Below are 15,496 nucleotides of genomic sequence, written 5' to 3' on the forward strand. Positions count from 1 at the left end.
GGCAGGAGAATCACTTGAACCTGGAAGGCAGAGTTCGCAGTGAGCTGAGATCGTGCCATTGCAGTCCAGCCTGGGCAATAGAGTGAGTCTCTGTCTCAAAAAAAAAAAAAAAATATATATATATATATATACCTACAGTATAATCCAGCAATCCCACTGAAGGGTGGGTGGGTGGGTAGGTATCTAGGTAGATAAATAAGACAGATGGATAGATAGATAAGATAGATCCACAGGAAATGAAATCAGTATGTCAAAGAGACATCTGCACTCCCATTTTCATTGCAGCATTGTTCACAATAGCCAAGATATGGAATCAGCCGAAGTGTCCATCAACAGATACATGAATAAAGAAAATATGGTATATATATTATATACATATAAACAGCGGCATATATTCAGCTTTAAAAAGAAGGAAATCCTGTTATTTGTGACGACATAGGTGAATCTGGAGGATGTTAAGTTAAGTGAAATAAGCCAGGCACAAATACAAATACTGCACAATCTCACTTATATGTGGAATCTTAAAAAAAAAACCTGGGCCAGGTGCAGTGGCTCATGCCTGTATTCCCAGCACTTTGGGAGGCTGAGGTGGAAGGATTGCTTGAGGCCAGGAGATTGAGGCTGCAGTGAGCTCCGATTGCACCACTGCACTCCATCCTGGGTGACAGTGAGACCCTGTCTCAAAAAAAAAAAAAAAAAAACCAGAAAAAGCAAAACAAAAAGAAGTATCTTACACCTAGAAAGCAATAAATATTAGCCATTATTATCATCATCATCAAAACAGTAGATTTAAGTGTTCTTACCACATAAAAATAAGTATATGAGGTAATGCATATGTTAATTAGCTTGACGCAGTCATTCCACAATGTACACATATTTCAAAACATCATGTTGTACTCCATAAATATATGCAATTTTTATTTGCCAATTAAAAAATAACTTTATGTAGATACCCTAAATTGCTTCTTCCCTTGGCCAAGTAAATCTCATATCATTTAGAATGAAAAGAATTTCCTCTCCTTTCATATTTCACCTATAAGGCTTAATTAAGTACTTTTGTTCCTGAGAAAGGGACCAAGCAACCACTCCAGGCCCAGCCCCTTGCTCTACAGTTTCCTTTGTAGTTCTGGAAGTGAATTAAAGCTAACGCCTAAGCCTGCTCAGTGGCACATAGCACTATTCATGCTTAGCCAGTCGTAGGGCTTCCCAGACAACACTGAATTCCAGGACAAATGGAAGTGAGGAAGAGAATTTCAGTAACAAGTGGTAGGTCATGATTTAATGCCTGATGAATTTAAAGCTCATCTCACACCTCACTGATGGATGTTTTGAAATATTCTGGCAGGAAGATGCAGAATGTGTGGCCTGGGGGAGGGGGAATGAAGAAAATGTTTCCTCCATTCTTCTAAAAATGAAAGGAGGGGAGCCCAGCACAGTGGCTCACACCTATAATCCCAGTCTCTCAGGAGGATGAGGTAGGAGGATTGCTTGAGGCCAGGAGTTCAAGACCACCCTGGGCAATATAGCAAGACACTAAAAAAATTTTTTTAAAGTAGCCGGGTATGGTGGCACATGCCTGTAGTCCCAGCTATTAATACTTTGGAGGCTGAGGCAGGAGGATTGCTTGAGCCCAGGAGTTCGAGGCTTCAGTGAGCTATGATCGCACCACTGCACTACAGCCAGAGTGACACAGCAAGGCCTCATCTCAATCTTCCAAATGAGAGGAGGAAAATTTTGTGAAAGAGAAAAACATTTCGGTAATCACAATAAATAATTGTCCTCTTAAACTAGTTCTTCAACAAGTAATTATTGATGATCTACAGTGTAACAGGCACGACGGATACAGTGGACACAATATATGAAGTCATTGTCCTCATGACGTTCACATTCTTTTGGATGGAGATAGACAAGCAAACAAATAGACAATTATTAATGATGATGGAGAAAAAGCAAAGAAAGGAAGTAGAGAGGTGAGACTGAGGATGGATTTTTAGAGGGAAAGGTGACATTAAACAAAACTGAATCACATGAAGGATCCTACCATGCAGAGAACTGAGGGGGAATATCCCCAAGCAAGCCTCTAAAGAAGCCTCTAAAGTGAGGACAAATTTAACCTCAGCACAAATTGAGATATGGTTAGCCAGTATGATTGGAATAGAATGAGCCAGGGAAAATACTCTCTCCAGCTGGAAACTTTTATGAGATAGTTTTGGTTACTAAGCATCCTCCATCCGTAAGTGGTCCAGTATGTGAGAGATTTTTCATAGATCAGCCCGTGAATATCCTAGAGCTAAACGGTTCCTTTAGATTTCTCATCTCCTGTTGTAATTGCTCTAATCATCAGAGCGATAGTATATAAAGCATTACATTAATGACTGAGTTATTCATTTTAAATTAAAACTGTAAGGCCATGTACAGTGGCTTACACCTGTAATCCTAGCACTTTGGGAGGCCAGGGCAGGCGGATCACCTGAGGTCAGGAGTTCGAGAGCAGCCTGGCCAACATGGTGAAACCCCGTCTCTACTAAAAATAAAAAAAAAAAAAAAAAAAAAAAAAAAAAAAGTAGCCAGGCGTGGTGGTGGCGCACCTGTAATCCCAGCTACTCGGGACTCAGGCTGAAGAACTGCTTGAACCCAGGAGGCGGAGGTTGCAGTGAGCAGAGATAGCGCCATTGTACTCCAGTCTGGGCAACAAGAGCAAAACTTGGTCTCAAAAAAAAATAATTAAAGCTGTATGTAATAGTACAGGGGTTGGCAAACTTTGGTAAAGGACTAGATCATAAATATGTTTGTCTTTGCTGGTACTACACTTGCAACTACTTGATTGTGCTGTTGTAGCATGAAAGCAACTATGGAATATGTAAATAAATGGTTATGGCTGTATTTGAAATAAATGGGAAGCCCAATTTGGCCTGTGGACCATAGGTTGTCCATTGACCTATTCTATTACATTGAGAAGCCAACAAGAGAGATTATAAAGAATCAGGGGTAGGAGAAAAACCATGACTAAGAGGAGGAGAATTCTAGGAAGGGAGGAAGTGATCAGAAACATCCAATACTGCAGTTAACTAGGAAGAGAACACAGAAGAGCCTTTCAGAAGTGGAAGTTAGGAGGCCATTACTGACCATGAAAAGAACAGTTCTGGTATTAAGTCTGTTCATTTTTCACTGGGCCTGGTTCTATGCACATATAGGGACTGCGTTGCTAGGTGCTTTGTGGTTTACAAAGTCCTCTTCCATGGTTACTACTAACAAAAGCACACTCTGAATAGAACCTTATCTCCAAGCTCAGTGCTTGGACCTCTACATCAGATAGGTCCTAAACTCGAGTTACTCCAATGACACCTATCATTAGGGCAGTATGTGTCCTAAAAAGAATCCCAATAGTAAGTAGCATCTTTGGCAATAGCTACAACCAATTCTTATAGTTGATCAAAACCATAGTAGGCGGATAAAATGTTATAATCTCACTTCTGATTCATCTATGCAAGGAGACACAGAGCCTCTTGCTACAGACATAACATGGAATTCAGAAAATGCCCAGTAAGCAGCCAGACTGGAAAAGCATGCAGGTAGTTAATTGCTATTAAGTAATAAAACATAAAGTTGATGGGTGAGAGGGAGTGAGGGATTAAAAAACTGCACATTGGATACAGTGTATACTGCTTGGGTGATGGGTGCACCAGAATCTCAGAAATCGCCTCTAAAGAGCTTATCTATGTAAGCAAAAACCACCTGCTCCCCCAAAACCACTGAAATAAAATAAAATTTAATAAATAAATAAAAATAAAGTAGATGGGGCAAGGAATCTGTGCTATTAAGTAATAAAGCATGTTAAATGAATCTGGAAAACATAAAGATTATATATAGACCTTATTCAATTTTGAATGTAAATTACTTTGGAAATAAAAGCAAATCATAATACTCTTGAATGAATCATTCATAAAATTATATTATACATCAGATTTTCAGGGTTCAGCATCTTAAAAATAATATGTTTTACATGACTCCAAAAGTAGTCCACTAGATTAATATTTAGAAATACACAGGAACTATTACAGTATTTATTCATGTATACATCGCCTAATTCCAAAAATAATTTCTCAACTTATAACTCTTAGAAAGCTAATACAGTTAGTTCTTTGTACACAGGGGTTCTGTAACTGTGGATTCAGCGAATCACAGATCAGAAATATTCAGGGAAAGGGCCGGTGCAGTGGCTCACACCTGTAATCCTAGCACTTTGGGAGGCTGAGGCAGGTGGACTGCCTGAGCTCAGGAGTTCAAGACCAGCCTAGGCAACATGGTGAAACCCTGTCTCTACTAAAAATACAAAAAATTGGACAGGCGCAGTGGCTCAAGCCTGTAATCTCAGCACTTTGGGAGGCCTACGCGGGCAGATCACTTGAGGTCAGGAGTTGAAGATCAGTCTGGCCAACATGGTGAAACCCCATCTCTAGTAAAAATACAAAAATTAGCTGGGTGTGGTAGCGGACGCCTATAATTCCAGCTACTCAGGAGGCTAAGGCAGGAGAATCACTTGAACCCAAGAGGCGGAGGTTGCAGTGAGCCAAGATAGAGCCACTGCACCCCAGCCTGGGTGACAGGGTGAGACTCTGTCTCAAAACAAACAAACAAAAAATTTAGATGGGTGTGGTGGCGCTCACCTGTAGTCCCAGCCACTCAGGAAGCAGAGGCCCAAAAACCGCTTGAACCCAGGAGGCAGAGGTTGCAGTGAGCCAAGATAGCGCCATTGCACTCCACCCTGGGTGACAGAGTGAGACTCTGTCTCAAAAAAAAAAAAAAAAAAATTAAAATATTCAGGGAAAGAAAAAACTGCATCTGCTTTGAACACCTATGGACATTTTTTCTTGTCATTTTCCCCTTAAAAATACAGTATAACTATTTACATAACACTTACATAGTATTAGATGTTATAAGTAATGTAGAAATGATTTAAAGTATACGGGAGGATGTGCATAGGTTATATGCAAATACTATGCTATTTTATATCAAGGACCTGGGCATCCTCAGAATTTGATTTCCATGGGAGGTCCTGGAGCCAATCCCCGACAGATACTGAGAGACGACTATATTATATAGATCTATAATCATTTATATTCTGTTAGGGACTGGTGGGGGAGGAGTCTTTTCAGTTAAAGATTAAAAGGGAAATACAAGGGAATAAATAAGATTAAAGGAAATCTTATTTCCTTACTGACTAAACTTTCCAAGAATATAATTATGCAGCAACAGTTAGGGGTCACGTGTTAAGAATAGTCAGGAAATCCTGTCTCCAGATGCCTGAGGATTGCTATCTATTTGTTTGATGACTTGCTGTAGAAATCTCTAGGCCCCAAGTTGATATTCTTGTCTCCACCAGACACCAGACTTTGTGTGATTTCTCTATCAGCACTTCCTTCTGCCTCCCAACTACTTGCCATTTTTACATCTGTAGTCCTCTAGTTCTCTAAAGCAAATTTAAATCATTCTATTCCTTCTGTATGTTCATTGAGGGATCAGTACGTATGAGTCAGGCAAGTAACAATTAAATTTATAGCACTTTATAGCCTACAAAGAATGAAAGCTAGCATATTAGCTAAGAGTTTGGGCTTTTTGAGATAAATTGTTTAGGTTCAAAGCCCTAACCTGCTACTTACTATCTTTGTGAACTTGGGGAAGATACTTCTATTTTTTATGCCTTTATTTCCTTGTCTGTTAAATGGAGGTGACAACTACATCCTTAGGATCTCTGTACATTTAAAGGAGATAATTCATGTTTAGAACATAGTACATGGTAAGTACTCATAAGTAGCACATGGTAAATGTTAGTTGATAATATAACCAATACTATAATTGATAAAAAGAGCTATTCCTCTACAGTATCCCATTTGAGTTTTGTAATAATCTTTTAAGGTACTTTAGTATTATCAGCCCCATTTTATAGATAGACCCTAAGGCTTTGAGGTGCAACTTGCCCCAAGTCATACAAGCATTCCTAGCAGGGCTAGGATTAGAATTGGGTTGTGTAGGCCGGGCGCGGTGGCTCATGCCTGTAATCTCAGCATTTTGGGAGGCCGAGGCGGGTGGATCACAAGGTCAAGAGATCGAGACCATCCTGGCCAACATGATGAAACCACTTCTCTACTAAAAATACAAACATTAGCTGGGCGTGGTGGCACACGCCTGTAGTCCAGCTACTCAGGAGGCTGAGGCAGGATAATCGCTTGAACCTGGGAGGCGGAGGTTGCAGTGAGCCAAGATCGTGCCACTGCACTCCAGCCTAATGACAGAGCGAAACTTTGTCTCAAAAAAAAAAAAAAAAAAAAAAAAGAATTGGGTTGTGTACATAGTTCCTCTAGGGCTTGTAGTTAGACTGGGGGGGAACAGGTTTCATCTCAAGAGCCAGCCCTGAACAGTTGAAATGGTTATTCAGAGTCCTGTTTTGATAATTCTCAAAGCAGGTCCAAGCTCATTAAGAAAAGAATGCCTGATAGATGAGCAGTATTTGCCATGGGCTCAGGAACATGTAGTGGGATTATGTCCTTGCTCTCCTTTTGTGTTTGTTTGTTTCCTCCTACCTAAAGTTTCTCATTAATCCAAGGATTTCTTTATAAACAGAAATTTTGGTTTTAGTAATTTATAGAATCATTTTAGCCTTACAAGTTTTCTAGAGAAGTATTATTATTCCTAAAATAGTTTGTAACTAAGGCAGTTGATAGAGGGGCAGCTCTTACAGCTGTTTCTCTGTAATAACTCTTTACATTTGCTATTCTCATATGGGCACACAGATTGAGAAATCTAGTAGTCACCATTTATTTATAATTTTAGGTTTAAGTTTGGACATTTGGGTTAAGTACTAATGGCACTTTGAGAAGGAATTGAGAAAACCTTATTTTCACATATGAGCCAAATACTAATCTCCTTGAAAGTCAGAGAAGTCGTTTTGGATGTGTCAAATAAGTACCACTTTATTTATTCATTCATTCATTCATTCATTCATTCATTCATTTTTGAGATGGAGTCTCACTCTGTTGCCCAGGCTGGAGTGCAGCGGTGTGATCTCTGCTCACTGCAACCTCCGCCTCCTGGGTTCAAGCGATTCTCCTACCTCAGCCTCCTGAGTAGCTAGGATTACAGGTGCCCACCACCACACCAGGCTAATTTATTTTTTATTTTTTATTTTTAGTACAGATGGGGTTTCACCATGTTGGCCAGGCTGGTTTTGAACTCCTGACCAAATGATCCGCCCACCTCGGCCTCCCAATGTGCTGGGATTACAGGCATGAGCCATCGCGCCCGGCCAGTACCACTTTAAATATAAACAAAAGCTAGGTTTCTGTGGAGTTGGTATATTTGAACCGCCTGACTTGGACTTCTTGGTTTTATTTTAGCCAGTGTTATCCCATCCCTTATTCTTGGTCTTACTATGGGGAAGTAGCAACTTAATATTTTAAATGTTGACATCACTTAAGTATTGGAAAAGCTAGAGTTAGCTTCTCGGTTCCATCTTCTCTACAGGAAAATGCCTCAGAAAAAAAGCTGGCCACAACTCTAGGTTTACCTCTATACCCAGCTTGGGCTTGGCATTGGAATACTTGGGTAGTCCTATTTCTCAGTATGAACTACCTTTGGGGAATATGTGCAGACAAAGCTCATGAAGTCTGAGAACTTAGTACTCCATCTCCTAGCTGCAAAGAAATACAGGAGAGATGGTAAAGGAATGCACAATAGCAATTTTCCCAGTTAGAATTCTATGGATTTCATTGGACTATTGCAGTCATCTCATCTCCAGTTCTTGCTAAAATACTTCAGGGACATAGAGAATTTCCCACCTCCTCTGGAAGTCCTGGCCATATTTGGACAATTCTGACAAAATTTCCCTTTTACTTCTACTTTCCGTATAGGATGGGCTAAGCAAGGAAGAAAATCTGCCTCTCAGAAAACACTTACATTTCACACTGACTACTATGGAACTGATCTGCTCTGATTTCTTGAGCTTTATTGATTTAAATTTGAGAGTTATTTTATTTTTATTAAATATGCCCAGGCAAATAACCAAGGTTAAATAAATATCTGAAAGAGCTTTGTGGGAAGTGTAAAACTATTTGGGGAGAAAAGAATTTTCTCCCAAAAAGCTTTCTAGGAATGTAACTTGTAAGAACTCTGAGACGCATACTCTCTAGAGAAAAAAATATATATATTTATGAGAAGTCAGGGTCTTTAATCTTTATAATTAGAATAGATATTGCTCAGTTTTTAAAAATCATGTCCTGATCACATTTCAGTTTAAATTACTTTTAAAATTCCATTGTGCAGAGTCAATCTTTAGGAGTACTTACTGGAAATGATTAGAGAAAAAAGCGTATTGTTTCTTACAGAATTGGTATGAAGTGCCTTACAAGACGTAATTCATTTATTTAGTGTTTTAAAAAGAAAAATGTTAGCCAGGCGTGGTGGCTCACGCTTGTAATCCCAGCACTTTGGGAGGCCAAGGCAGGTATATTGTTTCAGGTCAGGAGTTCGAGACCAGCCTGGCCAACATGGTGAAACCCCATCTCTACTAAAAATACAAAAATTAGCCAGGCGTGGTGGCACACACCTGTAGTCCCAGCTACTCAGGAGGCTGAGGCAGGAGAATTGCTTGAACCCAGGAGGTTGCTGTGAGCTGAGATTGCACCACTGCATTCCAGCCTGGGTGACAGAGCAAGACTCCATCTCAAAAAATTTAAAAATAATAATAATATAAATAAATAAATATAAAAATGTTGACCAGGCATGGTGGCTCACGCCTGTAATCCTAACACTTTGGGAGGCTGAGGCTGGTGGATCGCCTGAGGCTGGTGGATCGCCTGAGGCCAGGAGTTCGAGACCAGCCTGGCCAACATGGTGAAACCCCGTCTCTACCAAAAAAACGAAAATTAGCCGGGCGTGGTGGCAAGCACCTATAATCCCAACTACTCGGGAGGCTGAGGCAGGAGAATCGCTTGAACCCAGGAGGTGGAGGTTGCAGTGAGCTGAGATTGTACCACTGCACTCCAGCCTAGATGACAGAAGCGAGACTCTGCCTCAAAAAAAAAAAAACAAATAAAATTTCATTCAAAAGGTAATCTTGTTTGTTTACTATTGTCTTTTTAGGTGATATAATCCAAACATCTAATATAAGTATGTTTTTAAAGCAATTCTCAGCTCTAAACTCCTTTTCGTAACCTCCCTTTCCCAAATGGAAAGAGTTCATTTTCTGAGCAGAATTTTAGTAGTTTTTGCTGGCATGAAGAAGAACAAACATATTATAGATTTAGGCTTTTATACTTCTTTCATACTTAATGTTTGATCTTTCAGTCTTTTCCTGAGACTTCTCTTCTGCCTTTGTTAGTAAAGCCTTCTCTCTGGGAGTTTAGTTAAATCAAAGAGACTTTATTATTCTCATAAAATTTTCTCTGCCATGTTGAAGATAGGAGTCCCTTTGCCCTTATCATTTCATGGATATGCATTTAGTATTTTTGGTTGTTTCAGACTGACCCCAATTCTTGGCATTCAGAAACATTCTCAGGAAGGTATGGTGTTTACACGGTTTCTAGACACCCTCCTTGAAGAATTACATCTAAAAAATGAAGACCTTGAAAGTCTAACCATCATATTTAGAACCAGCTGTTTACCAGAGTGGTAAGTTGGATTGTGTTTTATTTTGGTTTTTATTCTTCATTTGTTGCCTATGTGGATTCTTTTTTTTTTTAATTGGAAATTGTAAAAACCAAGTACAGACCTCAAGATGCCCTCAGTTTGCTAAGGAAGGACATGATATCCCTTAGTTCTCAACTGCCTCAGTCACTTCCTGTCTACTTACTTTGTGCCCCATATTTGTTGCATTCCTCTCTTGTAGGTTACAACAGTTCTGTTTTTTGCAGTCCAGGAAGCTCCGCATTATCAGTTTCATACTCAAGTGTAGGCTATCCCACATGTCCCATCTGATAAGTTTCTTCCCAGGAAGTAGCAGTTTACTTCAACTCGGCTACTGCAGTGATCCATTGTGAACATCCTCATCCTACTGCCCCTTTCAGTGAAATCAACCCCTACCCAGCCAATACCTTAGTCATTTCATGTACAGATAAGCAGGTGAATTTACAAGTCTGACTTTGTTGAATCCTAACCCTGTTCCCAGATACACAGCCCTCTCCTACTATCCCAAACCCTTCCCTCTTTCAGAACTGCCCATCAGAATATTCCCTTCCTTGTCCTGCCTTAATTATAACTTTCCATGTATTCCTTCCTTCTCATTTCACACAATCCCAAAGTGCATGCTCAGATAGGTACTGATTTAATGTTATAATTGAGGAAATTCATCCTAAGCTACAAATGAGATTCTCTCAGGGAGATTTTCTTTTTTTTTTTTTTTTAACGTTTTTTAAATTATAAAAGCAATACAGAATGTTGTAAAATAAAAATTAAGCAATACAGACTGCATAAATATAAAAGGAAAATTCCCCCTTCACCTCTGCCTCTAATCCTATCTCTTTCCCACAAGCATACTTGATGTCTGTCATTTATTTTATTATTTTTTTTAATTTTATTATTATTATACTTTAAGTTTTAGGGTACATGTGCACAATGTGCAGGTTTGCTACATATGTATACATGTGCCATGTTGGTGTGCTGCACCCATTAATTTGTCATTTAACATTAGGTATATCTCCTAATGCTATCCCTCCCCCACCCCCCACCCCACAACAGTCCCCGGTGTGTGATGTTCCCCTTCCTGTGTCCATGTGTTCTCTTTGTTCAATTCCCACCTATGAGTGAGAACATGCGGTGTTTGGTTTTTTGTCCTTGTGATAGTTTGCTGAGAATGATGGTTTCCAGTTTCATCCATGTCCCTACAAAGGACATGAACTCATCATTTTTTATGGCTGCATAGTATTCCATGGTGTATATGTGCCACATTTTCTTAATCCAGTCTATCATTGTTGGACATTTAGGTTGGTTCCAAGTCTTTGCTATTGTGAATAGTGCCTCTATAAACATATGTGTGCATGTGTCTTTATAGCAGCATGATTCATAATCCTTTGGGTATATACCCAGTAATGGGATAGCTGGGTCAAATGGTATTTCTAGATCTAGATCCCTGAGGAATCGCCACACTGACTTCCACAATGGTTGAACTAGTTTACAGTCCCACCAACAGCGTACAAGTGTTCCTATTTCTCCACATCCTCTCCAGCACCTGTTGTTTCCTGACTTTTTAATGATCGCCATTCTAACTGGTGTGAGATGGTATCTCATTGTGGTTTTGATTTGCATTTCTCTGATGGCCAGTGATGATGAGCATTTTTTCATGTGTCTTTTGGCTGCATAAATGTCTTCTTTTGAGAAGTGTCTGTTCATATCCTTCACCCACTTTTTGATGGGGTTGTTTGCTTTTTTCTTGTAAATTTGTTTGAGTTCATTGTAGATTCTGGATATTAGCCCTTTGTCGATGAGTAGGTTGCAAAAATTTTCTCCCATTCTGTAGGTTGCCTGTTCACTCTGATGGTAGTTTCTTTGCTGTGCAGAAGCTCTTTAGTTTAATTAGATCCCATTTGTCAATTTTGGCTTTTGTTGCCATTGCTTTTGGTGTTTTAGACATGAAGTCCTTGCCCATGCCTATGTCCTGAATGGTATTGCCTAGGTTTTCTTCTAGGGTTTTTATGGTTTTAGGTCTAACATGTAAGTCTTTAATCCATCTTGAATTAATTTTTGTATAAGGTGTAAGGAAGGGATCCAGTTTCAGCCTTCTACATATGGCTAGCCAGTTTTCCCAGCACCATTTATTAAATAGGGAATTCTTTCCCCATTTCTTGTTTTGGTCAGGTTTGTCCAAGATCAGATAGTTGCAGATATGCGGCATTATTTCTGAGGGCTCTGTTCTGTTCCATTCATCTATATCTCTGTTTTGGTACCAGTACCATGCTGTTTTGGTTACTGTAGCCTTGTAGTATAGTTTGAAGTCAGGTAGCGTGATGCCTCCAGCTTTGTTCTTTTGGCTTAGGATTGACTTGGCAATGCAGGCTCTTTTTTGGTTCCATATGAACTTTAAAGTAGTTTTTTCCAATTCTGTGAAGAAAGTCATTGGTAGCTTTATGGGGATGGCATTGAATCTATAAATTACCTTGGGCAGTATGGCCATTTTCACGACATTGATTCTTCCTACCCATGAGCATGGAATGTTCTTCCATTTGTTTGTATCCTCTTTTATTTCATTGAGCAGTGGTTTGTAGTTCTCCTTGAAGAGGTCCTTCACATCCCTTGTAAGTTGGATTCCTAGGTATTTTATTATCTTTGAAGCAATTGTGAATGGGAGTTCACTCATGATTTGGCTGTTTGTCTGTTATTGGTGTATAAGAATGCTTGTGATTTTTGTACATTGATTTTGTATCCTGAGACTTTGCTGAAGTTGCTTATCAGCTTGAGGAGATTTTGGGCTGAGACGATGGGGTTTTCTAGATATACAATCATGTCATCTGCAAACAGGGACAATTTGACTTCCTCTTTTCCTAATTGATACCCTGTATTTCCTTCTCCTGCCTGATTTCCCTGGCCAGAACTTCCAACGCTATGTTGAATAGGAGTGGTGAGAGAGGGCATCCCTGTCTTGTGCCCATTTTTCAAAGAGAATGCTTCCAGTTTTTCAGTATGATATTGGCTGTGGGTTTGTCATAGATAGCTCTTATTATGTCTGTCATTTAATATTTATTTTTATTATTTGAATTTTTATAAAACAATCTTTTTTTTTTTGAGACGGAGTCTCGCTCTGTTGCCAGGCTGGAATGCAGTGGTGCAATCTCAGCTCACTGCAACACCTGCCTCCCAGTTCAAGCGATTCTCCTGCCTCAGCCTCCCTGTAGCTGGGACTACAGGCGTGCACCACCACGCCCAGCTAATTTTTGTATTTTTAGTAGACATGGGGTTTCACCATGTTGGCCAGGATGGTCTCGATTTCTTGACCTCGTGATCTGCCTGCCTCAGCCTCCCAAAGTGCTGGGATTACAAGCGTGAGCCACCGTGCCTGGCCTATAAAACAATCTTTAATCAAATCTCTAAATATACAGGAAAGATATTTGAAAGAGGTGATTTTGGTGATTAAGAAAGAATACCAGACCGGGTGCGCAGTGGCTAATGCCTGTAATCCCAGCACTTTGGGAGGCTGAGGCAGGAGGATCACTTGAGGTCAGGATTTCAAGACCAGCCTGGCCAACATGGTGAAACCCTGTCTCTACTAAAAATACAAAAATTAGCTGGGCGTGGTGGCAAGTGCCTGTAATCCCAGCTACTCAGGAGGCTGAGGCAGGAGAATCACTTGAACTCAGGAGGTGGAGGTCGCAGTGAGCCGAGATTGTGCCACTGCACTCCAGCCTGGGTGACAGTGCAAAACTCCATCTCAAAAAAAAAAAAAAAGGAATTAGCACTGTAACTGCCCCCCAATTTATACCCAATGGTCTTTTCAAGTGATCCTGCTACTCTGAGGACACTATATAGCAAAGGCTTTTACTGAAGGAGTGAGCTTGGGTTGGTTTGTATAAGCATAACATTCAAAGGCCCTTAAAGAATATGGAGAGGTTGGAATTTAAACCAATCATACTCCTCAGTCCATGACATCCTTTGTACATTGGTTGACAGGTGTCTTGGCTGGGTGCAGTAGCTTATGCCTAAAATTCCAGCACTTTGGGAGGCCAAGGTGGGAGGATCGCTTGAGCCCAGGAGTTCAAGACCAGTCTGGCAACAAAGTTGCCCAGTTTTGTAGAGATCCTGTCTCTACAAAAAATAAAAAAATTAGTCAGATATGGTTGCCTACAGGTGGCACCTGCCTGTAATCCCAGCTACTCGGGAGGCTGAGGCAGGAGGATTTCTTGAGCCCAGGAGGTCGAGGCTGCAGTGAGCCATGATCACACCACTGCACTCCAGCCTGGGCACCAGAGCAAGACCCTGTCTCAAAAAAAAAAAAAAAAAGAGGTTTCTATTTCAGACTGAGAGCAAACAGTACCTAGCCAGAAGTCCTTCTAAACCTGCTGTAATGAATAGATACCAATTAAAAATCATTTTAACTAGCATATTTTAAACTTGTACATAAACAGATGATGTTAAAGTAGTTTTAAGGACTTTCAACAGTAGATGTTTTAAGTGGACTTAACAGTTCCCCTATGATCATTATTTATTTACATTGTTCATTTGCTTAAGTAATCAAAGGTAAATCTTGGCCCAGATTACTTTGTCAGTATTATAAAGGATTATGAATGAATGGCCCTTATTACATAATTTTCTATATGAGAAATGAAGATGGTTGTGAGTAGAAGGATAGAAGGTTTTTTTGTTTGCATTATTTTGGTATGCCATGGTAAATTCATTTGAGTTTAGAGATTTTAATATCTAGTAACCTTTTGAAGATTACTACCTAGTATATTAATATGCTTTCAGTTGTGAATAACAGAAAAAAAATCCATTTCCAACTACCTTTTGTTATTGTGGTATATTAGTTAACTTTTGTTACTAACAAATTTCTCCAAACAAACAAACAAACAAAAAAGATGTTTGTGGTTTAAAGTAACAAACATTTTTTATGTCACAGTTTCTGTGAGTCAGGAATCTAGGTGCAGTTGAACTGGGAGCCTCTGGCTCAGGGTCTTTCCTGATGTTACAGTTAAGCTATCTGCCAGCGCTATGATGTCACCTGAAGGCTAGAATGGAAGATCTCCTTCAGGCTCACTCATGTGGTTGTTGGCAGGATCGCACTCCTCATAGACTATTGAACTCAGGGTCTCAGTTTCTCACTGTTGTCTAGAAACCTCCCCTAATCCCCTGCCCATAGGCCTTTCTAGAGTGCACCTCACAACATGGCATGTGGCTTCCATCGGAGTGAGCCAGTGAGAGAGGATACCCATGATGGAAGCCACAGTCTTTTTGTATTAATAACTAATCTCAGAAGTGACATCCCATCACTTTTGCTATATTCTGTTAGTTAGAAACTAGTCACTAGGTCCAGCCCATACTCAAGGTGAGAGGATTATACAAGGGCATGAATACCAGGAGACAACAGCCATTGGGGGATATCTTAGAAGGTGTCTAGCAGAGGGGCAAAAATGTTCAGTAGGCTCCAGTTTTATATATAGCATACCATACTGCCTTGGTGAGAGTCTTGAACTTCATCCTGACTGAGGACAGCCCTGAACCAATTCATGGGGTCATGGGAATGCTGTGAGCTAACGAAATCATTCTGGCAAAGGATAAGGGGAAGAGCTAATGAAATCATTCTGGCTAGGGATGAAGGAAAGAGAAGGGCTTTTCCAGTTGACCTTGATCAGTTAAAACTTAGCCCTCAAGTTGAATACGAAGCTCAGTCTACTCCACCCAAACTGTTGTTGGGTAGAATATACATGATGGGGAAGAAATTGAATGAATATTGACAAGACACACAGTGTCTACAACAGCTAGTAAAATACTTTACATGTTTTTTTGTTGTTTTGTT

General features: G+C 40.0%; 1 protein-coding gene across 2 annotated transcripts in view; it reads left to right on the plus strand.

Annotated features, from left to right (window-relative positions):
* Positions 1–15,496, plus strand: part of RPAP2 (RNA polymerase II associated protein 2) — a 102,998-nt gene that overhangs the window by 72,149 nt on the left and 15,353 nt on the right. For both annotated transcript variants that reach the window (NM_024813.3, XM_047430820.1), the window contains one exon: positions 9,517–9,666. In NM_024813.3, coding sequence (NP_079089.2) covers positions 9,517–9,666 — 150 coding nt within the window. Of the gene's footprint in view, positions 1–9,516; positions 9,667–15,496 lie in introns of those variants that run through there.

The sequence above is a fragment of the Homo sapiens genome, chromosome 1 (genome assembly GCF_000001405.40).
Source record: "Homo sapiens chromosome 1, GRCh38.p14 Primary Assembly".
NCBI classification, from domain to species: Eukaryota; Metazoa; Chordata; class Mammalia; order Primates; family Hominidae; genus Homo; species Homo sapiens.